At 53.9% G+C, this 27,895-nt stretch overlaps 1 protein-coding gene across 5 annotated transcripts in view, besides 2 other annotated features; it reads right to left on the bottom strand.

Annotated features, from left to right (window-relative positions):
* TRAF2 (TNF receptor associated factor 2) overlaps nucleotides 1-27,895 on the bottom strand; it is a 44,650-nt gene that overhangs the window by 6,499 nt on the left and 10,256 nt on the right. For 4 of the 5 annotated variants that reach the window (XM_011518976.4, XM_011518977.3, NM_021138.4 and 1 more), the window contains 6 exons: nucleotides 21,181-21,396; nucleotides 20,437-20,515; nucleotides 19,589-19,687; nucleotides 11,878-12,039; nucleotides 10,115-10,189; nucleotides 3,494-3,568 (listed from right to left, as the gene is read on the bottom strand). In XM_011518976.4, the coding sequence (XP_011517278.1) occupies nucleotides 3,494-3,568; nucleotides 10,115-10,189; nucleotides 11,878-12,039; nucleotides 19,589-19,687; nucleotides 20,437-20,515; nucleotides 21,181-21,368 (678 nt within the window). In that variant the 5' untranslated portion in view covers nucleotides 21,369-21,396. Of the gene's footprint in view, nucleotides 1-3,493; nucleotides 3,569-10,114; nucleotides 10,190-11,877; nucleotides 12,040-19,588; nucleotides 19,688-20,436; nucleotides 20,516-21,180; nucleotides 21,397-21,509; nucleotides 26,060-27,895 lie in introns of those variants that run through there. The other variant, XM_047423828.1, reaches the window with a different exon arrangement.
* Nucleotides 17,317-17,776: an enhancer, noted in NCBI's record as "active region_29336". NCBI's record gives its function as "activates an Ori minimal core promoter by ATAC-STARR-seq in GM12878 lymphoblastoid cells {active_cell/tissue: GM12878}" and the evidence as "EXISTENCE:reporter gene assay evidence [ECO:0000049][PMID:35858748]".
* Nucleotides 18,007-18,326: an enhancer, noted in NCBI's record as "active region_29335". NCBI's record gives its function as "activates an Ori minimal core promoter by ATAC-STARR-seq in GM12878 lymphoblastoid cells {active_cell/tissue: GM12878}" and the evidence as "EXISTENCE:reporter gene assay evidence [ECO:0000049][PMID:35858748]".

The following is a 27,895-nucleotide window of genomic DNA, read 5'->3' as shown; positions in this document are numbered from 1 at the left end:
TGGGTGGCCTGGTCATGGCTGATCCTTCTTGTGTATGACAGACTGAAAGTCAGGTGTGTTTAAAGAACGTGAAGCTATAGAACTTAGTTGCAGCCAGGCACAGTAGCTAGCAACTGTGATTCCAGCACTTCAGAAGGCCAAAGCGGGAGGATCATTTGGGCCCAGGAGTTGGAGACTAGCTGGGGCAACATGGCAAAACCCCACGTCTACAAAAAATTTTTAAAAATTAGCTGGGCATGGTGGTGTGTGCCAGTGGTTCCAGCTACTCAGGAGGCTGAGGTGGGAGGATCACTTGAGCCCAGGAGGTTGACGCTGCAGTGAGCCGAGATCATACCACTGCATCCCTGCCTGGCTGACACAGCAAAACCCTGTTTGGAAGAAAAGAAAAAAGGGACGGGACAGGACGAGATGAAGGGATGAAGGGAAGAAGGGGAGGGAAAGAAGGAGGGGGAGGGACAGAAAGGAAGAGAAAAGAAAAATAAAAGCAACACACCATTTTAAAAAAGCTACTCATGACTGGGCATGGTGGCTCCCGCCTGTAATCCCAGCACTTTGGGAGGCCAAGGTGGGAGGATCACCTGAGGTCGGGAGTTCGAGACTAGCCTGACCAACATGGAGAAACCCTGTCTCTACTAAAAATACAAAATTAGCAGGGCGTGGTGGTGCACGCCTGTAATCCCAGCTACTTGGGAGGCTGAGGCAGAACTGTTTGAACCCGGGAGGTGGAGGTTGTGGTGAGCCGAGATCGCGCCACTGTACTCTAGTCTGGGCAACAAGAGCGAAACTCTGTCTCAAAAAAAAAAAAAAAAAAAAGCCACCCACAAGTTCCAGAGAAGCCTGGGCAACATGGTGAAACCCTGTCTCTAGTAAAGCTACAAAAATTAGCTGGGCATGGTGGCACATGTCTGTAATTCCAGCTACTCGGGAGACTGAGGCATGAGAATAGTTTGAACCCAGGAGAGGGAGGCTGTAGTGAGCTGAGATGGTGCCACTGCACTTCCAGCCTGGCCAACAGAGCGAGACTCTGTTTCGAAAATAAATAAATAAATAAATAAATAAATAAATATTAAAATAGGCCAGGTGCAGTGGCTCACACCTGTAATCCCAGTACTTTGGGAGGCTGAAGTGGGCGGATCACCTGAGGTCAGGAGTTTGAGACTAGCCTGGTCAACATGGCAAAACCCTATCTCTACTAAAAATACAAAAATTAGCTGGGCCTGGTGGTGTGTGCTTGTAATCCCAGCTTCCCGGAAGGCTGAGGCAGGAGAGTACTTGAACCCAGGAGGTGGAGGCTGCAGTGAGCCGAGATGGCGCCACTGCACTCCAGCCTGGGTGACAGAGCAAGACTCTGTCTCAAAAATAAAATGAAATAAAACAAAATAAAATAAGAAATAAAAAGCCACCCACAGGGGAAGGTGAAAACACAGGGCTGGAAGCTAGGCCTCCTTAAACATACCTCATTTTATAGACTTGACTTTGCAATTAAATTATTTTCAAATTTCCACAACAAAATTTGAAAATGAGGCCAGGCGCGGTCATGCCTGTAATCCCAGCACTTTAGGAGGCTGAGGCAGGAGGATCACTTGAGGTCAGAAGTTCGAGACCAGCCTGGGCAACATGGTGAAACCTCATCTCTACTAAAAATACAAAAATTAGCCGGGTGTGGTGGCACACAGCTGTGATCACAGCTACTTGGGCCTTTTATCACCTACTTGGGAGGCTGAGGCACAAGAATTGTTTGAACCCGGGAGGCAGAGGTTGCAGTGAGCTGAGATCATGCCACTGCACTCCAGCCTGGGCGACAAAGCAAGACTCAACCTCAAAAATAAATAAATTAATTAATTAAATAAATATATATATATATATATATATATATATATAAACAAAACACTCTAAAAAAATTACAGTAAAAGAAACAAATGGACCTACATGTGTACCCAGCTAGAGGCATGACCACCCAGAGAGCAGAAGGGCACTCAAGACACAAACAGCTGGACGAGAGCTCGCCCTGCATTTTCTCAGAGAGTGCTGCTGTTGGGACCATGCTGTGCGCGGCGTGGAAAAAGCAGGCCCTGGCTGAGCCTGGGGTGGGTGTGCCAGCACGGGGAGATCCTTTGTGCAAACGGGAAGCGAGCATCGCCACAGACTCACGCTGTGTTCTCTCTCATTTCTCAACACCAAGAGGCCCAGAAACAAGGAGCACGGTGGCGGCAGCAAGCACCACTGAGGCCCGGGTGGTCACTACGCAACCTCCCGCACGGGAAGCCTGGGCTTCCTAGAGATGGCAGATGCCACGTCAGAGCAGGAAACAGACAAGAACACGGACAGCAGAAGACTATCCAACGCAGACAAAGAAAATGGAAGCAGCCACGCTCCTTTTCACCATTAGGAAAAAAACACAATACCTAAGGCCACATAGAATCAAGTCAGCAACTGACTCTACCACAAATGCCGTCAAGACATCCCTGTCTTCAAGCAAGGAAGGTGCCCGCCCAGTGAGCTGGCCAGGGGAGGGTCTGCACCCACGGCCTGCCCCTCTCCATCCATCAGGCACACACCTCAGCTGGGGACCACCTCTGGGCCCAGTACTCCTCGAGGGTCCTGACCTCAAGGGGCTCCTGTTGTACAGGGCAAGACGGACAAGAGACAAAGACACGAGGTGCTGGCGACAGAGGGGCAGAGTCTGCAGGGGTGGAGCAGGGGGGTCCACCTGGAGAGACCCAGGCGCCTGGCCATTGTGCCAGTGCCCAAGTGCCTGGGGTGGGCACAAGTGGGCATGCCCAAGGAAGCTCAGGCCAGCGAGCAGGGCAGAGGAGATAGCTGAGGGGAGGGAAAGATCACAGGAGCAGGCCACTCTGAATGAGAAGCCATGAGGAAGAGCTGTGATCGATTTCCATCTGTGAACAGGCCAGAACGGAAAAGAACGGGGGTCCCATAAGCGCCTGAGCCTGGGTCCCAGTGAGAGATGAGGATGATGTGGACAGGGCAGTGACGGCTGGGGGGACCATTTGAGGGTAGACGAGACCTCTGTCAGCCCGAACGTGAAGCATGAGGCGAGAGGAGGGGCCCGAGTGCCTGCTGGTGGCGGAGGGCTCAGCGACAGCCGCTGGGTTAGAGTGCTGCCCTTTTCTGTGTGAGATGGGGGCAGGGAGACAGCGGCCAAGGAGTGGTCGTGGCGAGCCGGCCGGGTACATCTGAGACGTGCACTCAACACCCAGGGAGGCTCAAGGCGACAGGTGGGCACACACACTGGGCATCCTCAGAGACAGGTGGCAGTCAAAGCCAGGCACTACAATGCCACCAGGAGGGAGTGGACAGGGCTGCCAGCCCAGAGACCAAGCTGGGAACACTCGGACAGCCGGGGCAGGAGGAGGCAGTGCTGCAGAGGTGGCTGAGGAGCAGCTGGAAGGAAACCAGGAAGCACTGGGCTGGAGGCAGTGAAGACCACACCCAGGATGAGGGGTGGCCCCCAACCTCAGACCCCCCGACTCACCGTCTCGAGGCAGCCGATGGCGTGGAATCTGCAAGGGACTCGACACTTGCCACAAGTCTTGACGTGGTCCTGAAACTACAAGGGAGTGACGTCACAGAGCCATCTTTCTCTGTTCTGATGCATTTCAGCACTTCCACATGGACCACACTGACTGACACAGAGGTTACATGACCTGCCCCGTTGGCCTCTTCACTCTCACACTGAATGAAACCCAACAGCCCATTTCCAAAGCGACACGCTCACACACCTGTGCACACACACGTGCAAACATGCACACTGTGCCAGTAACTGAGATGGGCAAGCATTTCGGGACACCTGTGGAGACCCCAGCTTGTGTGTCACATGGCACGCCTGTCCCTCTATCACAGTCCACAGGACATGCGGTGCTGAGGCCTCAGGGCCTGGGTTCAAAACCCAGAATCAAACGCCCACTGCTCACCCGGTGCGTGGTGGTACAGGATGACACAGACACGACATGAAGCAAAACGTAAAATCCAGAAAGGGGCCAAGTGCACACAGACACTCACATACAACAGGAACATCGAACCAGGGAAGAAACAGAGACTAACACTGTGGTATCTGACATGGGTCTATGGATGCAGGAACAGCCCGAGGAAAAACATGAACCCCAAGTTCCTCCTCCATTTCCCAGGTGACATGGCAGGTGTGTCGCGGCTCTGAGTGTGAGAAAACCAAACCCACACATGCCAGACGCAGCACAAGATTTCATACCCGGAAGGAGGGAAACGGCCGTAACTGTGAATCAGTTTCCAGAAACAGTCACATAAGAACCTTGAACAATTTCCCCCAAAACAAACAAAAACCAAAAACACTATTCAGTGGGCAGGAGTCATGAACAGCAAGAGAAGCACAGATGGGCTCGGTCACACCACAGCTTGGGAAACGCCCGTCAGAACCGCCTCGAGGCTCTGCTGTCCCTTGCCACCCATAGGAGGTTGGTCTCAGGGTCCCTGAAACCCAAGGATGCTCGAGTCCCTGATGGAAGATGGCAGAGTGTTTGCACAGAGCCTAAGCACACCCTCCCTCATACCTGAAATCAGCTCTCGGTGACTCATGACCAATACAACGTGAACGCTGTGTCAATAAAAAATGTCCGCGCGTGTTCAGTGCATTTTTACCTGAACATTTCCAACCTACGGTTGGCTGGATCCACGGCGTGGACCCCCGATACAGAGGACTGATGTGTTTCTCACACATCACAGTGGCACGTCCAACCTTCACACCACACTGTGCTGGCAAGTCTCGGGAGACGGTGCTCCCACAATGCTTATGGGAATGCAAATTTCTGAACGACCGCACGGCGCTGCGGACGGGGAGCCTGACACATTTCCCTCTGACGTCTCAGAATGCACCTTTTTTGTAGTTTTCGCTTTGGTGCCATGTAACCATTTTACAAAATTACAAAACTTTTTTTTGAGACGGAGTTTCTCTCTTGTTGCCCAGGCTGGAGTACAATGGCATGATTTCAGCTCACCGCAACCTCTGCCTCCCAGGTTCAAGTGATTCTCCTGCCTCAGCCTCCCGAGTAGCTGGGATTACAGGCATGCGCTACCACACCCGGCTAATTTTGTATTTTTAGTAGAGACGGGGTTTCTGCATTTTGGTCAGGCAGGTCTCAAACTCCTGAGCTCAGGTGATCCGCTCGCCTCCGCCTTTCAAAGTGCTGGGATAACAGGCATGAGCCACCGCACCCGGCCTTTTTTTTTTTAAAGGGCAATCTTTAAAACTCAAAAGCAAAATGAAACAAATGGGCCTCCGTGGAATACTGAGACAGCCGCCTGCCCAGAGACGCTGCTTCGAATGACTTATGACACAGCAACTCAATACAGACTCTAAAAGCAAAGAGAACTAGAAAGAGAACTTCGTCATCACATAATTTGCCATGGATCAGACTCAGTGCTACTGACACCGTTCTTATGTATAGCAATGTCAACAGGAACCACGACTTTCTGTAGAAAGGAGACAGCAACATGGAAGTTGGGTAAGAATCTGAAATGCAAACATCCGTGTGAACCCACAATGTATTTTCTCTTAAAATAAAGCAAGGATCCCTCTGCTGTCACTGAAGTATTTTCGGATGAAACACTGGGCTGCGGGAAGAAGTGGAGGCAGGAATGAAACAGAACTGTCACTGGGCACCCCCCATCTTGAGCCACAGCAGGGCCCCAAGTTCTAATGTGCTCTCTCTCATCTGTCCAGGCTCAGAAATTTCCACCACAGGAAGCTGAAGGAGAAGAGGCCAGGAACCTGGCATGTGCGCAGCATGCTGGGAATGGGGGGTGCGATCGCCCAGGTAGGGTAGGTGTGGGAGAAGGCACTGCTGGAAGCGAGGAGACAAGTCCCCCAGGCTGCCCACGGCAGGGCCGTCCATGGAACTGGAAGCCAGCTGGGCGCCTGGCCTCTGTAAACCTCAATTTCCTCATCTGATAAAGGGTGCCCTAGGGTTCCTGTGAGGGCAGGAGGGCAACCCCCAGGCCCCCAGGAAACACTAAACACTGCCCGTCTGTGGTTCCTGCCAGCATCACCATGAAGGGGCAAACACCTTATCAAACACGAGGTGTCCGTCACTGCCAAGGCTTCTGGGCTGTTTGGCCATGAGGCCCAGGCCCACTTCTCCTATCCAGCGAGCCCCACAGGTCAGCCTCCAAAGGACCAGGTCCCAACATACGCCGCCCCATGCTCGGCTCAGCCCTGCACATGTCCCAGGCAGTGGTGAGGAACCCGACCAAGCCCTGGGAGCATGGTCACCGAGAAAGGCTCCAGCAAAACCAGCAAAGATGGAGAGGAGGGGCTGGGAGGATGAGATGGGGCCTGTGCCTCTGCACAGCTCTGACTGATAAGACAGCAGGCCAATAGTTTACATCGTCAAAGAACAAAAGCAAATCTTTAAAAAAAACCCTCACATTTTAAAAGAACCTGAAGCAAATGAACTATATACCACAGCTGACATAAACTCAAAGAAAAAATGTATTCCAGTTCACCTCAGAACATAGTATGTAGCCGGGCACGGTGGCTCACACTTGTAATCCCAGCACTTTGGGAGGCCGAGGCAGGTGGATCACGAGGTCAGGAGTTTGAGACCAGCCTGGCCAACATAGTGAAACCCCGTCTCTACTAAAAATACAAAAAATTAGCCGGGCATGGTGGTGGGCACCTGTAATCCCAGCTACTAGGGACGCTGAGGCAGGAGAATCACTTGAATCCAGGAGGCAGAGGTTGCAGTGAACCGAGATTGCGCCACTGCACTCCAGCCTGGGCGGCAGAGAGACTCCATCTCAAAAAAAAAAAAAAAAAAAAAATTCCTTTATAATAAGAACATGGTATGTGGACCCCACATCTTCATAAGATGTACTTCCAAGAACAAAAAGAGCTTCGAAGAAACAGGTGGCCTCATCATCAGTGGCCTCATCATCAGAAGCCATGTTGCTGGTTTTTGTTTATTGTTTTTTTTTGAGATGGAGTTTCACTCTGTGGCCCAGGCTGGAGCGCACTGGCGCGATCTTGGCTCACTGCGACTGCAACCTGTGCCTCCCGGGTTCAGGCGATTCTCCTGTCTCAGCTTCCCAAGTAGCTGGGATTACAGGAGTGCCTGTGCCACCACACCTGGCTAATTTTTGTATTTTTAGTAGAGAAGGGGTTTTGCCATGTTGGACAGGCTGGTTTTGATCTCCTGACCTCAGGTGATCCACCTGCCTTGGCTTCCCAAAGTGCTGGGATTGCAGATGTGAGCCACCACAACTGGCCTTGACTTGTTTTTTTAGACAGGCTCTCACTCTGTCACCCAGGCTGGAGTGCAGTGGTGCGATCTCAGCTCACTGCAACCTCCACCTCCTGGGTTCAAGCAATTTTCGCACCTCAGCCTCTCAAGGAGCTGGGACTACAGGTGTGCACCACCATGCCCAGCTAATTTTTGTATTTTCAGTAGAGACGGAGTTTCACCACGTTGGCCAGGCTGGTCTCGAACTGGCCTCAAGTGATCCTCCCGCCTCAGCCTCCTAAAATGCTGGTATTACAGGAGTGAGCCACCATGCTCAGTAGGTATTTTTAATTTTAAACCTACTCTATATATAACATAAAACAAATACGTTACCAGTGTTAGGAACCAAGATTTGCAACACTAAAAAAAGATAAGAGAGGCCAGGCACAGTGGCTCACGCCTGTAATCCCAGTACTTTGGGAGGCCGAGATGGGTGGACCACCAGGTCAGGAGTTCAAGACCAGCCTGGCCAAGATGGTGAAACCCTGTCTCTACTAAAAATACAAAAATTAGCTAGGTGGAGTGGCAGGTGCCAGTAATCCCAGATACTCAGGAGGCTGAGGCAGAGAACTGCTTGAACCCAGGAGGCAGAAGTTGCAATGAGCCGAGATTGCGCCACTGCACTTCCAGCCTGACGACAGAGTGAGACTCTGTCTCCAAAAAAAAAAAAAAAAAAAAAAAAAAAGGGCCAGACGCAGTGGCTCACGCCTGTAATCCCAGCACTTTGGGAGCCGAGGTGGGCAGATCACGAGGTCAGGAGATCGACACCATCCTGGTCAACACGGTGAAACCCCATCTGTACTAAAAATACAAAAACAAAATTAGCCGGGCATGGTGGCAGGCGCCTGTAGTCCCAGCTACTCGGGAGGCTGAGGCAGGAGAATGGCGTGAACCCAGGAGGCGGAGCTTGCAGTGAACCGAGATCTCGCCACTGCCCTCCAGCCTGGGTGACAGAGCGAGACTCCATCTCAAAAAAAAAAAAAAAAAAAAAGAGATAAGAGAAAATCCCAAGCACGCCACACACATTAGAAACACCTGAGAGCACTCTCAGCATTCTCCTCTGGAACGGGCCAGGGGGCACAGACAGCCCCAGGACACCCTGCACATACATGCAGCCCCTATATGTCGGCCTGCATTGAAGGGCCAGAGTTCCATGCCTAGACAGGACTGCCCTGAGGAAGCAGGCGGGGCCCAAGAGATTCATTCTCAGAGAGCCTGAAAGGCCCCTCAGTCTGAAGATGAGGCCCTGTGAACATCAAAATAAAGATGCAATGGGCTGGGGCAGTGGCTCACGCCTGTAATCCCAGCACTTTGGGAGGCTGAGGCAGGTGGATCACCTAAAGTTGGGAGTTCAAGAACCAGACTGACCAACATGGAGAAACCCCATCTCTACTGAAAATACAAAATTAGCTGGGTGTGGTGGTGCATACCTGCAATCCCAGCTACTCGGGAAGCTGAGGCAGGAGAATCACCTGAACCCAGGAGGCAGAGGTTGCAGTGAGCCGAGATCACACCATTGCACTCCTGGGCAACAAGAGCGAAACTCTGTCTCCAAAAAAAAAAAAAAAAAAAAGACGGGAAGGATGAAAATGCACCATGCACAGAGAAAGCCCCGTGTTCACAGTGATGGGTGGGGACAAAACCCACCAGACACCACCGCGCTGCGTGGGCGCCCGTCTTCGTCTTTCACTCTGGAAACAGTCTCAAGGAAAGAATCACCTCCTAACTCCTCTGTACAACCCCCTCAGGACAGACAAGGGCTGACACAGACTGGGGCACACGCAGAGGGCACCTCTCGGGGGCACCTCCAGGCCCCACCAGCAGGGGACACAGCCTCACAGACACGGGCCCCAGGCAGGCGTCCTGGCCTCTGAAGGGGGCATGGCAGCAGCCATAGCCTCTATGGCGCTCCAGTCTCCAGGTGAAGGGAAAGGATGCTTTCAGACAGCACTCGGCCAAGCTCACAGTGCGGGACATTTAACAGACAAGTGGAAAGAGGTGAGGAGACAGCCCTGTCCCGTCCCCCAGCCCTACCCATTTCAGGACTTGGGCTGTGACCTATATTTAAACAGAAGCAAATCAGAAAGACAGGCACACACCTGTCAGGCTGAGCCCGCGGGCAGGCCTGGCCAGCCTGACCCCTCCTGTAGCTGCCCAGATGGGGGCTGCCACCTGTGAGGCCTCCACATTGGACCTCTGACACACAGAGCAGGTGCCCCTTCCAGAGCTTCAGCCTCTCTGGATGAGCTACCCTCACACCTCCAACAAGGGAGGCAGTTTGGGAAAATGTTTCCATGCGTATTATTTCCCAGCTTCCTTTCCTAAAGGTGTCATCTGCAGCAGTTAACTCTCAACTGGGAGAGAAACCATTTTCCTGAAAGAAGTAAGGACACCAGGGACAAAGTTCTGCCAGGCGAGCCACCCACATTTCACGGCTGTGGCAGCAGACCAGACTAGGGCGCCCAGTCTCCACCCCAACCGCTTGCTGCAAACATTCAGCTTCAAAGTCAGTAACAACATTTCTCATAAGCAGCACATGGAGGGCGATGAGAACTTTAATGTTTCATTTTCAGGATAACTAGGAAGTGACCTGCTGAAAAGTAAGCAGCTATGTACACTGGAGGATGAGGAAGAGGGCTCGGGACTCAGCCACCTGGCCCCCGGCCCACTCAGGAGAGCGGCCGCCACCCTGAACGCATCCATGACCCAACGTTACAGGGGCTTTGCACTGCTGTTCCTTTGGGCACAAGGGTCATAACCTGCCCCACCCCCACCCACGGGACCCTCACGTCCAACACATGGGCCCCGCCCTGCGGTCCTCCAAGGAGGTGAAGGACACTCACCTTCTCCCGGGGGATCTTCTTCTTGCCGCAGCCGTCACAAGTTAAGGGGAACTTGGGGCAGACCTCGTGGTGCGCCTTCAAAAGAAGGGATCAGGAGTGTGAGGGTGGACGCCAATGCCAGGCGCGGGTGGAGGGCGGCACACAGTGCTCAGGCTGGGCAGCGCCGAGGGGCCGCAGGAGCACGTGGTCACCCTCCAGCCTCGAAGGACAGTGCTCCTCCCGGGCAGGATCCTGCCAGCACCACCCAGGAGCCTCGGAGATCTTAACGCTTTGTTTGTTCTGCCAGCTCAGGGCAATGCGAGGGAGACCCAAGCCACCAGAGGAGATTTGGAAGCCACGTGAAACAACGGCCCCGGTGAAGATGGGGAAACGCTGCTCCCGCTGGGAGGCGAGGCCGGTGGGAGGGCCTGGCGGATGGGCAGGGCTGGCGGCATGCGGGACGTCTCCAAGACAGACCCTGACATGCTGCTGCGGAGGGCTTGGCACCCCAGATGTGCTATGGTCAGGCCCGTCCATCTGACAGTTTACAGGGAAGTGCAGATGGGTCTCAGGGAAGTGGGGCTCCTGAAGGACAAGAGCCCAGGAAAAAAGATGCCATGGGCCCCAGAGGCAGAGAGAGACCCAGAGACATTTCCACCAAAGGCAGGAACCCTGTATGGATCGTGATTCAGATACACCAAGGCAAAGACAGACAACAGGGACGCAGACACAGGCTGCAGGCCATGTGAGCAGTCACAGCTGCATCTCAGACATGGCGCTATTCTCACCAACGCTTTGGGGAAGGCGAAGTCAGACTTGAGCAACTGTCTTGAGAGCAAAGCCCAGGCCTGGCGAGGACGGACGCACACCCACCACCGCACTCTCTACCTGATGCATTTAGACTTTTCTAAGACAAAAATGCTTTTTTGTCCTAAAAACAAACTTTTTTTAAAAATTTTTTTTCTTTTTTTTTTTTTTGAGACAGAGTCTTCCTCTGTTGCCCAGGCTAGTGTGCAGTGGTGCAGTCTTGGCTCGCTGCAACCTCTGCCTCCTGGGTTCAAGCAATTCTCCTGCCTCAGCCTCCCGAGTAGCTGGAATTACAGGCACTCGCCACCGTGCCTGGCTTTTTTTTTTTTTTTTTTTTCCGAGACGGAATCTCGCTCTGTCGCCTGGGCTGGAGTGCAGTGGCGCAATCTCGGCTCACTGCAAGCTCCGCCTCCTGGGTTCACGCCATTCTCCCGCCTTAGCCTCCTGAGTAGCTGGGACTGCAGGCGCCCGCCACCATGCCCAGCTAATTTTGTTTTTGTATTTTTAGTAGAGACAGGGTTTCACCATGTTAGCCAGGATGGTCTCGAGCTCCTGACCTCGTGATCTGCCCGCCTCGGCCTCCCAAAGTGCTGGGATTACAGGCATGAACCGCCGCACCTGGCCACTCCTGGCTAACTTTTTGCATTTTTAGTAGAGACGGGGTTTCACCATGTTGGCCAGGCTGGTCTTCAACTCCGGACCTCGTGATCCGCCCGCCTCAGCCTCCCAAAGCGCTGGGATTACAGGCGTGAGCCGCCGTGCCCGGCTTACAAAAATGCTTTTGAAAGGCCTCGGCATTAACTTCACACCCATTCCCAGTTCTGCCAAGAAACATCCGCCCGCGTGTCTCCAGGGAAAGGGCCGAGGGGGTGGAACGAGTGCAAAGGGGCCGACGCAGCCGCAGTGGCCAGCACGCAGCTCCCCAGCTCAGCCCCGCATGGCTGCAGCCACACAGGCTGCTGCTCCACCCCACGCACCTTCACGTCTGCTCCGCAGCAGGGTGCCCGGCAATGCCGGCAGCTCAGGCTTCTCTCCGGGCACTCGTGCTCCAGGTGGCGCTCCTTTTCACCAAGGCGGACCAGGCCTTTGCACGCGGGACATTCGGTCAGCATGAGCGGGCAGCGGCCTTCGTGGCAGCTCTAGCAACGAAAGGAGGAAGCGTCAGTAGAACTCGCGTGGGACATTTGGGCAGCCACAGCTTCACCCGGGGACACAAGGCGATGTAGCGCTGGCTTGGTGTCCGCATGCTGGTCCTGGGGGCCGCCCTCTGCAGATAGCTCTCAGGGCTCCCACAGGTGGGAGGGCAGGAGGAGATCAGATCAGTGTGTCCTCGTCTCCACTCTCTTCACCGCACACTGAGCTGAGGGGATGCTCTGCCATGGGGGTCTCTGTGTGGATGCCTTGCCACCACCAGGCTCCCCGATCTGCCCCCTGAAACAGCCAAGTGCACAGTCCCTGCTCTGCGCCAGCGGGTCCCTGCCACACACACCAGCTCCTAACCGAGAAAGCAGGCCACGCTCGATCTGATGACCAAGCCCAACGCGGTCCAGGCTGAGTCTTGCCAGTCCCAGCCCCATCCTCATTGCAGGTGGGAGGTGTGAAGAGGTAGGGAACACGCACGGGAGATAGCATGCGGGCAGCTGGCCTCTGCCTCCAGCACCAGGAAGCCAGCAAAGGCCTGAGGCACAAGCCCACCAGGCCAAGGTGCCAGGAGCTGGGTCTAGCTGCACAGCACACGCATCTGAAAGGGCCGAAGCTGCGAGGAAGACAGGCGAGGGCCAGTGACACACAGGAAGGTCACTCAGGCACCTACACGTTCCCACACACTGAGCCACCCAGGAGCTGGGCAGAGGCCCTGCCCTCCTGGAGCTGACAACCTGGTAGTGACCACCAGTGCCAGAACACCAGGGAAGGCAGGCAGTGGAGGCAGGGCCGGGGAAGGTGCCACAAGATGCAGACTGCAGACTAGGGAAGCGGGAGCCGGTGCCGCAGGCTAAGCGTCAGGCGAGGCAGAGGACTGTGGACGTCCACAGATGGCCAGGGTGGCAAGGGAAAAGGACACAGAGGGAAGGGAGGCGGTGCCAGCTCCTCGCCACACCCAGGCCAGGAAGAATCAAGAATGTAGGATGCAGAACCCAGCCACCTCTCCAGCCCACTGCTGCCCCAGGCAGGGCTTCCCCGACCGTCTTGAGGGCTCTGCCCGAATGTGAGGGGTCAGGACAGCAAGGTGACGGGATGTGGCTGAACCCTTCCAGGACTGCCTGGCAGCTGCACCTCTCACAGACTCTAAGGTTGGGAAGCCGCAGCAGTCACAGGAGGAAGAACGGGGTGGCAGGCACTACAAAGGTGCTAGTGTAACGGGAGAGAGGGCCGGATTCAGGATGTGTCTGGGGAGCCACGTGGACCTGCCGGCAGACTGAACGTGCCGCTTACAGGAACACAGAGAAGTCAAGAAGGACTCTCAGGCCTCTGGCCCAAGCCACAGGAGGTCCCACCTGCCTCCATAAGGGGCTGGTGAGGTACAGAAATAAAACTAAACAGGGCTTTTTGTTTTGTTTTGTTTTTTGAGACAGGGTCTCACTTTGTCACTGATATGGTTTGGCTGTGTCCCCACCCAAATCTCATCTTGAATTGCAACTCCCATAATCCCCATGTGTTGTGGGAGGGGCCTGGTGGGAGGTCATTGAATCATGGGGTGGGTTTTTCCCGTGCTGCTCTCGTGATAGTAAGTCTCATGGGATCTGATGGTTTGATAAAGGGCAGTTCCCCTGCACATGCTCTCTTGCCTGCTGCCATGTGAGACGTGCCTTTCTCCTCCTTTGCCTTCCTCCATGATTGTGAGGCCTCCCCAGGCACATGGAACTATGAGTCCATTCAACCTCTTTTTCTTTATAAACTACCCAAGTCTCGGGTATTTCTTTATAGTAGTATGAAAATGGACTGATACAGTTACCTAGGCTGGAGTGCAGGGGTAAGAATACAGGTCACTGCAGCCTCGACATCAGCACCCACATAGCTGGGACTATAGGAATACAGGCACGCACCACCACACCCAGCTAAATTTCTTTGTATTTTTGGCAGAGCCATCTTGGTTTTTTGTTTTTGTTTTGAGATGGAATCTTGCTCTGTCGTGCAGTGGCGCGATCTCGGCTCACTGCAACCAGCAACCTCCACCTCCTGGGTTCACGCCATTCTTCTGCCTCAGCCTCCTGAGTAGCTGGGACTACGGGCGCCCGCCACCACACCCGGCTAATTTTTTTGTATTTTTAGTACAGACAGGGTTTCACCGTGTTAGCCAGGATGGTCTCAATCTCCTGACCTCGTGATTCACCTGCCTTGGCCTCCCAAAGTGCTGGGATTACAGGTGTGAGCCACCGCGCCCGGCGGTAGAGCCATCTTACCCAGGCTGGTCTTGAACTCCTGAGCTCAAGCAATCTGCCCACCTAAGCCTCCCAAAGTACTGGGATTACAGGCATGAGCCCCTGTGCCTGGCCAGAGTTAAACACGTCTTTTGGGAGAAGTCTGCTATGACTGGGAACAGAGAAAGGGAATGGAAGTCAAAGGAACAGGAAGTTGAAAATCTGCTGTTTCTTCAATCATGATAAACATAAAATGTATCATCTTAACCATTTTCAAGTGCACAGTTCTGTGGTATTAAGTACATTTCACTGATGTTATGTAACCATCACCACCATCTACCTCCATCACGCTTTCCCATTGTAGAAACCTGAAACCCTGTCCCTGTTAAACCCTAACTCCCCATTCCCCTGCTCCAGCCCCCAGCACCATCTATTGGCTCTCAATTTGACCACTCCGGGGACTCTGTCAGTGAATTCACGCAGTCTTTATCTTCTTGTGCCTAGCTTAGCTCACTGAGCACAACACTAAGTTTTGAGACAGGAGAGACTAGAGCATATTCTGTACCGATGGGCACAACCCGGAGAGAGGAGGACAATGTGCTGAGAGGAAGGTTCCTGAGAGGCCAGGGCAGCAGAGGACCTGGCTGCGGGGCCCTTCATGGGGTGGGGAGTGGGGGTCAGCAGCTCCATAGAGAGCTGGCTACAGCTCAGGAGCCCCAAGTGACTCAGGAAAGGTTAATGCTACTTCCCCCAAGAGGGGAGACCCTGCTCTGGACAGCACAGGCACTTGGGCTGGCTTCCATTCAACCTCCCCAGGGAGTGTTCCTCCCAAACCTTCACACAGGCACAGCAACTACTCCTTAGAGGCGCCCCAGGGAACATGGGCCCAGCCCTCCAAGACCTCCAGCGGCACTGGCCCAAGCTAAGCCTGCTAAAGGAACCAACTCCCTGAACCCAACAGCGCCTTGCACTCTGCTACCCACTGACGGGACAGGACCCAGCCCTCGGCCACACTAGTGTGTAACAAGCCACCATCAAGCTGAATCAAAGAGGAGCCTCAGCAACTATTCTGGCTTATGAAACCTAAAAACGAAAGCACAAATAGTCAATGTTCTTAGATTTAATTAAAAGACTGTTCTTTAGGCCAGGCGCGGTGGCTAACGCCTTGTAATCCCAGCACTTTGGGAGGCCGAGGCGGGTGGATCACGAGCTCAGGAGATTGAGACCATCCTGGCTAACACAGTGAAACCCCGTCTCTACTAAAAATACAAAAAAAATTAGCCGAGAGTGGTGGTGAGCGCCTGTAGTCCTAGCTACTCGGGAGGCTGAGGCAGAAGAATGGCGTGAACGTGGGAGGTGGAGCTTGCAGTGAGCCGGGATCGTGCCACTGCACTCCAGCCTGGGCGACAGAGTGAGACTCCATCTCAAATAAATAAAAAAATAAAAATAAAAAAGACTGTTCTTTAAAACATAGTAAAATGGCCGGGCACAGTGGGTTCCCACCTGTAATCCCAGCACTTTAGGAGACCAAGGTGGGAGGATCACTTGAGCCCAGGAGTTTGAGGCTGCAGTGAGCTATGATCCCACCACTACACGCTAGCCTAGGCAACAGAGCGAGACTCTATTTCTAAAAATAATAGTAATAAAATGCTCATAGGTGAAATGATATGACATCTTCATTTGCTTTAAAATAAGCCAGAAAAGAAAAAAATGTGTGTGGGGGGTTGAAGGGCTGAAAGTAGGCTGGCGAAGGCTGGCAGGTGCTGCGGGGCAGCATGTAGGCCTGTGGGGCAGCGGCACACCTCTACTCTCAGCCTCACTGCTCAGATGCGCTGCATGCTCGAAATGTCAAAAATAAAATCTTTCTTGGCTGGGCGCGGTGGCTCACGCCTGTAATCCCAGCACTTTGGGAGGCCGAGGCAGGCGGATCACGAGGTCAGGAGATCGAGACCATCCTGGCTAACATGGTGAAACCCCATCTCTACTAAAAATACAAAAAAATTAGCCGGGAGTGGTGGGGGCGCCTGTAGTCCCAGCTACTCAGGAGGCTGAGGCAGGAAGAATGGTGTGAACCCGGGAGGCGGAGCTTGCAGTGAGCCGAGATCGCACCACTGCACTCCAGTCTGGGTGACAGAGTGAGACTCCATCGCAAAAAACAACAAACAAACAAACAAAAAAAACCTTTCTCTTGGCACTCGGTACTTGAAATCTCCAGTGGGACCAGGGTTGTCCTGCAGCAGATACATCTACACCAGCACCATCTGTCTCAGTCTTCTCCCCACCCACAGCAGACACAGTTTAAAAAAAAAAAAATCAATATTTATTCAGCCAGAATTCAAACTACACATTTGACGCAAATACAGTCGTCATCCCTCTGAATGTCACTAGAATGTCCATGAGGCCGAGCATACTTGGCTTTTCCTGGCCTTTCCGCTGCTCGTGCAGCCAGCCTATGTCCTCTCTGGAAAGTCTCCCCGCACCCCCGCATCCAGCTGCCAGAACGAGTAGCTCAGGGGCCCACTGGGGAATTCAGTTCTGCTATTGGCACTCAGCAAGCACTCCATCAACATTTACCTAAAGTTTTAAAATTATTCGATTTGGCCAGGTGCAGTGGCTTATGCCAGGAATCTCAGCACTTTGGGAGGCCAAGGTGGATGGATCACTTGAGGTAAGGAGTTCAAGACCAGCCTGGCCAACGTGGTAAAACCCCATCTCTACTAGAAATATAAAAAATTAGCCGGATGTGGTGGCAGGCGCCTGTAGGCTGAGGCAGAAGAATCACTTGAACCTGGGAGGTGGAGGCTGCAGTGAGCCGAGGTCACGCCACTGCACTCTAGCCTGGACAACAGAGCAAGACCGTCTCAAAAAAATAAAAATAAATAAATAAAATCATTCAGTTCCTAGAAAGGCATCATTGCAAAGGACAAACATTCAAAAGCTAAGCAGGATTTTCCCCTTTTCCAATAAAGTTCCGACCATCAAGGAGGAAAGGCAGCCTTAGCCTCCGTACTGTGTTTACAATAAGGCCCCAACTAGCAGCACACTCCGAGCACCCGGAGAGCAAAGAGAGGCGGCTCCGAGGGGCAGAGCGGCTCCCAACTGTATAGACGGGTTGATTTCCGTCCCCATGTGTGACATTTACAGCCAGTGAGAGGTTTTATCAACAAAATCAAAGGCCACAGCCAAGTTATTCCAGAGCAGTGCCCGCCCCTCCCACATGACCAAACCCGGCTCCTCTCAGGGACTTTCCAGAGCTCTCAAAGGTGCAGCCAGGGACTTTCCACCCTGCGTGCCTGCAGGACCGCGTGGCGCCCCAGGCCAGGGGCTGGCTATAGTCCTTGGCCCTCAGCCGGAGGCCCTCATAATTGTCAATGTGGCATCCCATGAGCCTGGAGGTGGCAGAGACCCCAGAGGACTCAGGGTCCAGTGCAGAGCTGGAAACTATTATCCCACCTGTCCCCCAGACACTCCTCAGTCCTCTCAAAGGGTGGCATGGCGCATAGCACCCCTACTCCCTGCAGCCAGCTGGTACCCCAACCCTCCCAGGGAGACCCTGACCCTGGGCCACCTCCCCAGGGAGCCATCTCCCTTGCAGACAGCACTGGGCAATGACCAAGCTGCATCTCTTTCAAGGAGCAGGGAGTGGGGGGTACAATGCCATGCGCCACAGCCGTTTGTGCGGCAGAGCCACACAGGAGCCTAGAAAGCTTTGCATCGCACGTCGTGGCTGAGGGCGGTCTGGCATCTCTGCCCACAGAGGTAGGAGTCTCACTCTAGGGCAGTGCCCTGGAGCTACCGCTCCGTGTCCAGGACGCAATCCCCGTGCTAGGGAGGAAAGCACATCTTGTTCACCCCAGACACAGCTGGGGCAGTTCTTCTGAAAAAACGAAACTTGGAGCCCAAAGACCACAAAGCAGAGTCTGTCAAAAGATCGTGGGAGGTGTGGCCAGGCTCACAGGGTGGGGAGTGGGCGAGGAGAAGAGGGAGGCGTGGCCAGGCTCACAGGGCGGGGAGCAGGAGAGGAGAAACACACAGTAATGCAGGTCCAATTCCAACCCAGCCGGTAACACCCCAGGGTCCGGCTGAGCAGGAGATCCCAGCTCTGGCCCGGGCAGGAAGCTCCCCTAAGTGCAGAAAGCCAGGATTCTGAGCAAACAGCCCTCACAGCCTCACCAACCTGGGGCTGGATTGGATGGCATCAAGGTACTGCCTCATTCCAATGTATGACTCGGTACTCACTGAACAATGACCCCTGTCTCCTCCATTCTACTTCCTGTACCCATGGATCTGATGACTCTAAGGGTGGCCCCTAAGTGGAATCACAGAGGATCTGTCCTTTGGTAACTGGCTCATGTCACTCAGCACACTGTCCTCAGAGTTCATCCCTGGGGTGTGTGTGTCCGAATCGCCTTCCTTTTTAAGGCTGAATCATATCCCACTGTGTGCACAGATCACACTTCCCGTGTTTATCCATTCATCCGCAGACACTGGGCTGCCTCTACCTTTGGGCTCTGTGGACAGTGTTACTCCAGGAATCCTGTACAAGGATCCCAGAGAGAAACCTCTTAAAGGGCATTCATTACAAGAAGGAAGACTGCATAACTTGGCGAGCTGTAGTGGCCTCGACGAGCTCTCTCGGCACCTCCTGGCCTCTACACTACAGGTGAAGTTTCCAAATGCCTAAAAGGTGACGTGAGAATCACACTGAAATCCCCAGTGCAGGAAGGCGTGCACGGCTCGCCCAGCACACAGGGACAAACCACAGCCAAGTGAAGTGCGGGCCACTGCCTATGTTGCTGTGACCACAGGACAAGTGTGTCCATTATTTCTGCAATTTCCAGTGTCAACACAATTCAAAATAAGCAATCCTTTGTGGATACAAGAGACACAACAAAAACCCCCACCAAACTTGAAAGCTGCAGGTCCTGGTGCACAGCGATCTCCCCTTCATTCCCAGGAAATGCTACTGCTCAGATAACCATGGCATTCCCAGGGCTCACACAGGCACCTCCAACCCTCACAGCCACCCCACGATGGTGGGATCCTGCACCCCCATCGACAGACAAGAAACCTGAGGCACAGAGAGGGTAAATACCTCGCCCGAGGTCACACAGCCCAAGCTCCATGGTGCAGGTCTGTGCTCTGCACTACTTGAGTTTCTAAATGGACATACTCTAAGGAGCAGCTCCGTCTCTTCCTCCACAGACATCAGACAGGCTTCAGCCCCAGTGAGAGGAACGTGCAGGACAAGGTCATAACTGCTTGGGGAGCGTGGACGACTCCCGACTGCTGGAGCTTCTGTCACCATGCCACACGCAGGCATCTTTACCTCGTATTCTTTCAGGGTCCCCTTCCAGGTGCATCCATCACTGGGACAGACGGCCGGCAGGCTCTCCACCTCCCTGCGGGCAGCATTATCTGGGAAGGCCTGGGGAGAGGAATATCCCTCGGGTTAAACCTCCTCCCAGACTCCCTGCAGCAACCAAGGAACACAGACCACACGTCCAAACCAACCAATACTGCGTCACATCGCCTTTCCAGGCCACTCCAGGAGCAGAGGATGACTCTCTGATTCCTTTTTATTTTTGGACTCACCTTGATGCCAAAGTTTCCAAACCCTAAACTTCAGGAGTCTGCTAAGGGACAACTTCTGGCGGCCCTTTATTCTTTTTTTTTTTTTAAAGGAGGGGTCTCACTTTGTAACCCAGGTTGGAGTGCAGTGGCATGCGATCTTGGCTCACTGCAACCTCCGCCTCCCAGCCTCAAGCAATCCTCCCACTTCAGCCTCCCAAGTGGCTGGGACTATAGGCGTGCGCCACCACACCCGGCTAATTTTTTGTATTTCTGGTAGAGATGGGGTTTCACCATGTGCGCCAGGCTGGTCTCGAACTCCTTACCTCAGGTGATCCACCCACTTTGGCCCTGCAAAGTGCTGGGATTACAGGTGTGAGACACTGAGCCCGGCCCCTGGTAAGTTTTTTGCTTTTTGTAGAGACAGGGTCTCACTATGTTGCCCAGGCTGGTCTCAAACTCCTGGACTCAAGCAATCCCCCTACCTGGGCCTCCCAAAGTGCTGGGATTACAGGTGTGAGCCACTGTGCCCAGCCCCACCCATGTTGTAAAGGAAATTAAGACATTTTCTGTTCAACATTTTTAGCTTCAAGACATTTTACTTACCGAACTGCTTTCTAAAATAGAAATGCCTTCTTCATATATGCCCTCGTGAACACAGGCAGCACAGTTCTGAGGCCCAGAGCTAGTGGGGAAAAAAGGCAAAAAACAACCCACTGTGAAACCTAATGCAAAAAACAAACACCATTTGCTTCAGTTCAAAAACCTACCTCCACACCACAGTTTAAACTTTCTCATCCTTAGTGAAACCAACAGCAGGCAAATGTTAACAGGACATGTTTTAAACCCCAGTATTCACAGCACACTGTTTTTATCACTCCGTTTGTGAGGAAGGCACGCCTGAACCGCCAAGGACATCTGCTGCAGTAACTCAGGTATTGCCGGCTCTCCCGACAGGCCGAGCTGCTGCCGATGTGCACAGGCCACACCTCTCAGACCACTCGCTGCAAGGAAGGCGGCTGTCTTAGCTGCCTAGAGCAGCCAAAAAGTGAGCAGTAGGTGGCACTTTAAACTTTCCAGTACTCACATTAAAAATAATAAAAAGATAAAATTAACTGTAATGACGTACTATATTTAACCCCATGTATCCAAAATCGTATTTCAAATTGCTATTTTAAAATTATTAATTTTACATTCTTTGTGGTAAACCTCCGAAATCCAGGGAGTATCGATAACTGGAGCACATCTAAGCTGGACCCGGCTCTGCTGGGAGCTACCAGGCTGGGCAGCGTGGCTCTAAAACCAGCCTAGCCTGCCTGCCCCTCCTCCCAGCCTGCAGGCCCCATGCACCTGAGGATGCTGGCCAGGCAGAAGGAGCAGTACCGGTGGCCACACTGCGCCTGGAAGGGCCTGCGGAGGACGTTTCTGCAGGCGGAGCACAGGTACTTGGCTTCCAGCTTGGTCCCCAGGAGGGTCTTGGAGAAGCCGGGCTGTAGCAACTCCAGGGAGCCAGGGGGGGTCACGCTAGCTGCAGCCATGAGAGCTGTGACCCCCGCGAACAAAGCCCTAAGGAAGAACACACAGCACGTTACACCTCAATTCCAGAACAGTCCTCGAGACAAAACCAAACCAATGGTGATCAGTAGCAGGCGATGGTGAGGGGCCGGGTCCCCACTGACCTGCGGTCAAGACTCAGAGAAGCAGAATCGCAGAGCTTCAGGGAGCCTTGGAGACCCTCTAGTCCCATCTCCCGCCGCTAGTATGGAAACTCAGGCTCAGTGAGGCTGGGGACCACACAGCTGGCATCCACACAACCAACCCACAGCTCCAAAGAGACACAGACGCACGGGCTTCCTGCCACGCACAACCCCCTCCCCAGCTAGGGGAACAGGCTGCCTTCCTGTTAACACTAATGGTCAGAGGTTCTCAAGGCTCTAGGCCCTTTGGTCTCCCCCATGGTTCCTGCAATAAGCATGTTTTAGAGTGGTGGATGCCTTCTGAAATATATCTTACCAAACCCACTGGGCAGGAGACGCCTGCCTGCTGGCACTCAGGCTCTGAAGGCACTCAGGAGAGAGCCATGCCGCCAGACCAGCCCCTAGAGCGGGAATGTAGCACACCTGGGGCTGGCTAGTGCACTCCCTTTAGCTACCACGGGTTCCCCTCCAGCCCCGAGAGCGGGAATGTAGCACACCTGGAGCTGGCTAGTGCACTCCCTTTAGCTACCACGGGTTCCCCTCCAGCCCTGAGAGCGGGAACGTAGCACATCTGAGGCTGGCTAGTGCACTCCCTATAGCTACCACGGATTCCCCTCCAGCCCCGAGAGCGGGAACGTAGCACACCTGAGGCTGGCTAGTGCACTCCCTTTAGCTACCACGGGTTCCCCTCCAGCCCCGAGAGCGGGAACGTAGCACACCTGAGGCTGGCTAGTGCACTCCCTATAGCTACCACGGGTTCCCCTCCAGCCCCGAGAGCGGAACGTAGCACACCTGGAGCTGGCTAGTGCACTCCCTTTAGCTACCACGGGTTCCCCTCCAGCCCTGAGAGCGGGAACGTAGCACACCTGGGGCTGCCTAGTGCATTCCCTTTAGCTACCACGGGTTTCCCTCCAGCCCCGAGAGCGGGAACGTAGCACACCTGGGGCTGCCTAGTGCACTCCCTTTAGCTACCACGGGTTCCCCTCCAGCCCCGAGAGCGGAACGTAGCACACCTGGGGCTGGCTAGTGCATTCCCTTTAGCTACCACGGGTTTCCCTCCAGCCCCTAGAGCAGGAATGTGGCGCACCTGGGGCTGGCTAGTGCATTCCCTTTAGCTACCACGGGTTTCCCTCACTTCAGACGATACACATGGCCTTCAGAGCCCTCCATGTGCCAGCCCTGCCCTGGCACCTTGCTGTCCACTAGAACTCAGTAAGCCCCACCAAGGCAGCCACAGACGGCCTCAGCGCCCTGCACCATGCCCTCTCCTTCTGCCTAAGCACCAAGGCCACCAGTGATGGCCTCAGCCACTCAGTGCCATGCCCACTCTTCCTGCTTCTCTGAGCATCATCCAGCCAATACCTGCACCTCACCCTTCCTTTTGAATTAACCGCAGCTCTTCCTCCCTCAGCGTCCCGGGCAGAGACTCCACTGGGCTCTGCTCTCCTTACAGAGCATCCCCAGGTGGGTTTCTCTCTCCCCTTCTGAACATGGAGCCCCTGTTGTGTGGGAACCTCAGGAAGGGGCCTGGTCAGGGTTGGGCTGATGTTGAGGACAGAGGAAGGGAACAATGAGGATGCCTAGACCCATTCACTGGGCAGAGTGAGCAGACAAGGAGAGCGAGCAGTCACCCGGCAGGCACACCAAGCATTTCCTCGAGGTCTGTCTCCCTCTCAACGAACTACAACTCTCACGCCTGTAATCTCAGCACTTTGGGAGGCCGAGGTGGGCAGATCATGAGATCAGGAGTTCGGGACCATCCTGGCTAACACGGTGAAACCCCGTCTCTATTAAAAATACAAAAAATTAGCCGGGCGTGGCGGCGGGCGCCTGTAGTCCCAGCTACTCAGGAGGCTGAGGTTGCAGTGAGCCAAGATCGCGCCACTGTGCTCCAGCCTGGGTGACAGAGCGAGACTCCACTCAAAAAAAAAAGCGGGGAGAGACAGGCACTCGGTTCCCCCCAACCTTATAAGCGGTTTGGGTAAAGCTTGAGTCCAAAGACTTCAAAGCTTCTAGCTGAAGTGAAGATTGTTCACACGTGCTGGCCCTATCAAGCACAAGGAACTTCCACGGCACAGACGCCCAAGAGAACAGACTCGAAACACAACCGGACAGCAAACATGGAGCTTCCCAAGTAGCAACAGGAAGCTGCGGATGAGAAAGGCAGACCCATGCGTCTCCACAGCCTCACACCCGGAACCAGGGCCGGTCATGAGGACCCGAAACCCACTGCTCCTTCGCAACAGCCTCCAGTGCCTTCTTGCGCTCCCCGTGGGGGCACGTGTCACCTGATGCTCGCCTGCCATGCTCCTCCTTCCAAAAGCAGCCCGAGGGCCAGGGCTAGCTCTAAGTATGCTCTGTCCCCAGTCCCGGCCCCTGAGAGCCTAGTGAGAGGAGGCAGGAATTGGGGTCATCTCTCTGGCAGGGAAGCAGTCTTGATTCAGGGAACTGGGGACAGCTAGAGAGGGACTTCCAGTGGGGGTGGGGGGGCTCACTCCTAGAAGGTGGACTGCAGGCAGAGCAACCTGGGAAAGAGGTGGAGGAAGGACAGGGGCATGGTGTCGGCTGAGATCCCCAGGAGGCAGCCCAGGGAGGCAGGGACTGACAGGCCCTGGCCTAAGGGTGGAGGGCGGCCTCCAGAGTCCCCTCCCAAGAGGGCAACCTGGGGTGGCAATTTATTTACTTAAGGAATGACTTCTCAGAACCATTCCTTTTTTTTTTTTTTTTTTTTCCTTAAACAGAGTCTTACGCTCTGTCACCTAGGCTGGAGTGCAGTGGAGCAATCTGTCACTGCAACCTCCACCTCCTGGGTTCAAGCAATTCTCATGCTTCAGCCTCCCAAGTAACTGGGACCACAGGTACCCGCCACCACAGGTGGCTAATTTTTTGTATTTTTCAGATGGGGTTTCACCATGTTGGCCAGGATGGTCTTAAACTCCTGGCCTCATGTGATCCAACCTTGCCCTCCCAATGTGCTGGGATTCCAGGTAGGAGCCACCGTGCCTGGCCCATTCCAACATTTAAATGACAAATGCATTTTCCCTTTTTTCTCCAGGAAGGACAGTAGATGCTGACCGCTCTGTGCCTGGACGACAGCCCCAAGATGGGGGCCTTGCTGTTCTACTTGAGCCTGACTGATGCCTCCAGGCAGGCTGTTAGGTCAGCTCAGCCACAGGTCCTAACACTGCACACCTGCTCTGCTGTCCTTCCAAGGCCCAAGTTGCCAAAAGAGTGTCCCGGAAGCCTTAGGTCACTTGCCTCCTCAAAGCAGCATGGACCCACCCACCAGGCAGAACCGCAGCAGGAAGGCTGTGGCCCCAGGAGTGAGGAAAACGAAGCACCACTGTGTGCCCGACACGGTGGCGTGGGTCACCCGGCCCCAGAGCTGCTCACCTGAAAGGGGCTGACCTCTCCCAGCAGGCCCAGGACCGGCAAGTTTTGGATGAACCCAAAAGGCCAGAACACTGCTGAGGCCCTTCTCCTCTCACCTCTGCCCCGGTTGCTGTGCCAGAAAGAGGTCTTCCCAGCTCTCAGGACCGCTCCACCATTCACCAGGGACTCAGCCAAACCCAGGAGGCTTTCATTTTTCTTTAGAAACAGGGGTCTCACTATGTTTCCCTAGCTGGAGTACGCTGTCTATTCACAAGTGTGATCATGCACACTACAGGTTGGAAGTCCTGGGCTCAAGCGATCCTCCCGCCAGTTTCTCCAGTGGCTGGGACTACAGGTGAGTGCACCTCCATGCCCAGCTATCCAGGATGCTTTCTGAGCCCATTCCTTGTCCAATCACAGGCCAATTCCACTGGCTCTGCCTCCATGCTGCCAGCACTAGCCCCTTCTCTGGCCCCGACCCTGCTCTCTGCTCCTCCTTCATACCCACAATAGGGCACCCCTCACTGAGGGCTCCCTAGGAACATCCTGGGCACTCAGAAGGAAACCCGGCCACTGGGTTTAGCCCCATCTGGCCTTGTCCCCCTCCATCCTCATGATGCCCCCAATCCCCCTGCTCTCCTCTGTTCCCTTAACACCTTTGCCCTGCTTGGAAGAGCCCCGGTGCTGGTCCCTATGGATCTGCACACCTGCCCCTTGGCAACCCTGAGGTGGGCCTAAGAAGCCTGCGCCCAGGACAAGGCCCAGCAGCCTTCCGAGACTTGCCTCCAACTCCCATGTAATGTCCCCAGATCTCAAAAAGTGGAAGGAAAGTTTACCTGTAAACCCCTGAAAAAGGGCCACTACCAGCCAGGTGCGGTGGCTCACGCCTGTAATCCCAGCACTTTGGGAGGCCGAAGCAGGCAGATCACGAGGTCAAGAGATCGAGACCATCCTGGCCAACATGGTGAAACCCTGTCTCTACTAAAAATACAAAAATTAGCCGGACATTGTGGTGTGTGCCTGTAATCCCAGCTACTGTGGAGGCTGAAGCAGGAGAATTGCTTGAACCCAGCAAGCAGAGGTTGCAGTGAGCTGAGATCATACCACTTCACTCCAGCCTGGGCGATGAGGCAAGACTCCATTTCAAAAAAAAAAAAAAAAAGGCCAGGCGCAGTGGCTCACACCTGTAATCCCAGCACTTTCGGAGGCCAAGGCAGGAGAATCACGAGGTCAGGAGTTTGAGACCAGCCCGACCAACATGGTGAAACCCCATCTCTAGTAAAAATACAAAAATTAGCCGGGCGTGGTGGTGCACGCCTGTAATCCCAGCTACTCAGGAGGCTGAGGCAGGAGAATCGCTTGAACCCGGGAAGGAGAGGTTGCAGTGAGCCGATATTGCACCACTGCACTCCAGCCTGCGCATTGCAGTGAGACTCCGTCTCGAAAAAAAAAGTAAAAAAGAAAAAGGGTCACTACCACACAGACCCCAAATAGGAGGTGCTTTTTAAGTCAGAAAAACTTAGGCCCCAAGACAACCATCCTCAGCTCTCTGCAAACATTCCCCAAAGTTTCCTTGACCTGGCTCACCAACGAAAGCACATTCCAAGTGTCTTCCCCAGACGGTGCGCCAACCCTGCAGACCCATGGGGCTGGCCCCTCTAATCCTCTACAGGAGAGACACGTGGACTGCCAAAACTGACGCCGCATACAGGACTGGGGAACGCAGAGTGCAGCGACCTCATCCCTGACCTGCGCTCACTGACCTGAATAGGGCTGACTCTTGAGAAACTGTGACGAGACTGTCAGTCACCTGTCTGCCCCCCAAAGCCAGCAGTGGTGTGCTTTCAATCCCAGCTTCTGAATCTGTAATTTAGTGAGACCTTACATTCGTGTGGCACTTCAGAGTTCAGAAAACATGCTTATAACCTAAACTTACTCCTCCAACCACCCAACAGAAGGGACGCTGGGGCTCTGCCTGCCCAGTGCTCAAGGTCCCTCGGTGGGGACGCCACACCTGTTTCTCCCACTTTCTCGAAGGTGGGTGCACCTGCTCCTGTGGGCGGCAGAGCTATGTGGATGTTCCGGAGCTCACAGATGCATACCAGCCGTGGCAAACTGAGGTGGTAGCCTGCTCACCAGGACTGCACCCTCAGCGCACATTCATCATGACATGTGGAGACGTGCTACATACATGTACGTCACTAAAAGGTTCACAGAACTACACTTAGTCTTCATAAGAGGCATTCTGAGTGTTCTATTTTCTTTCTTTTGTTCTGGTCAGAAGCTATTACATTGATTTCATGAGCCACTAATGGTTTATTTATTTATTCATGTGAGACAGAGTCTTGCTCTGTCGCTCAGGCGGGAGTGCAACGGTGTGATCTAAGGTGCAACCTCCGCCTCCCAGGTTCAAGCGATTCTCCTGCCTCAGCCTCCCGAGTAGCTGGGATTACAGACGCCTGTCACCACGCCTGGCTAATTTTTGTATTTTTAGTAGAGACAGGGTTTCACCATGTTGGCCAGGCTGGTCTCGAACTCCTGACCTCAGATAATCTGCCCACCTCAATCTCCCAAAGTGCTGAGATTATAGGCATGAGCCACTGTGCCTGGCTGAGCCACTAACAGTTTAAAAAGGTTTAATGGTTTTAGAACAAAGTGGCTTCTAATCCACTTTGGACAAAGAAATTTTCTATTTTTAAGTATCATTGGTTTTTAAGCCACATTCTTTTTATTTATTTATTTTTTTGAGACGGAGTCTCGCTCTGTCGCCCAGGCGGGAGTGCAGTGGCGCGATCTTGGCTCACTGCAACCTCCACCGCCCAGGTTCACGCCATTCTCCTGCCTCAGCCTCCCAAGTAGCTGGGACTACAGGCACCAGTCACCATGCCCAGCTAATTTTTTGTATTTTTTAGTAGAGACGGGGTTTCACCGTGTTAGCCAGGATGGTCTCGATCTCCTGACCTCGTGATCTGCCCGCCTCGGTCTCCCAAAGTGCT

Source organism: Homo sapiens, chromosome 9 (assembly GCF_000001405.40).
Source record: "Homo sapiens chromosome 9, GRCh38.p14 Primary Assembly".
Classification (NCBI taxonomy): Eukaryota; Metazoa; Chordata; class Mammalia; order Primates; family Hominidae; genus Homo; species Homo sapiens.
Note: the sequence above shows the minus strand (reverse complement) of the source record. Positions and strands in the feature narration are given on the sequence as shown.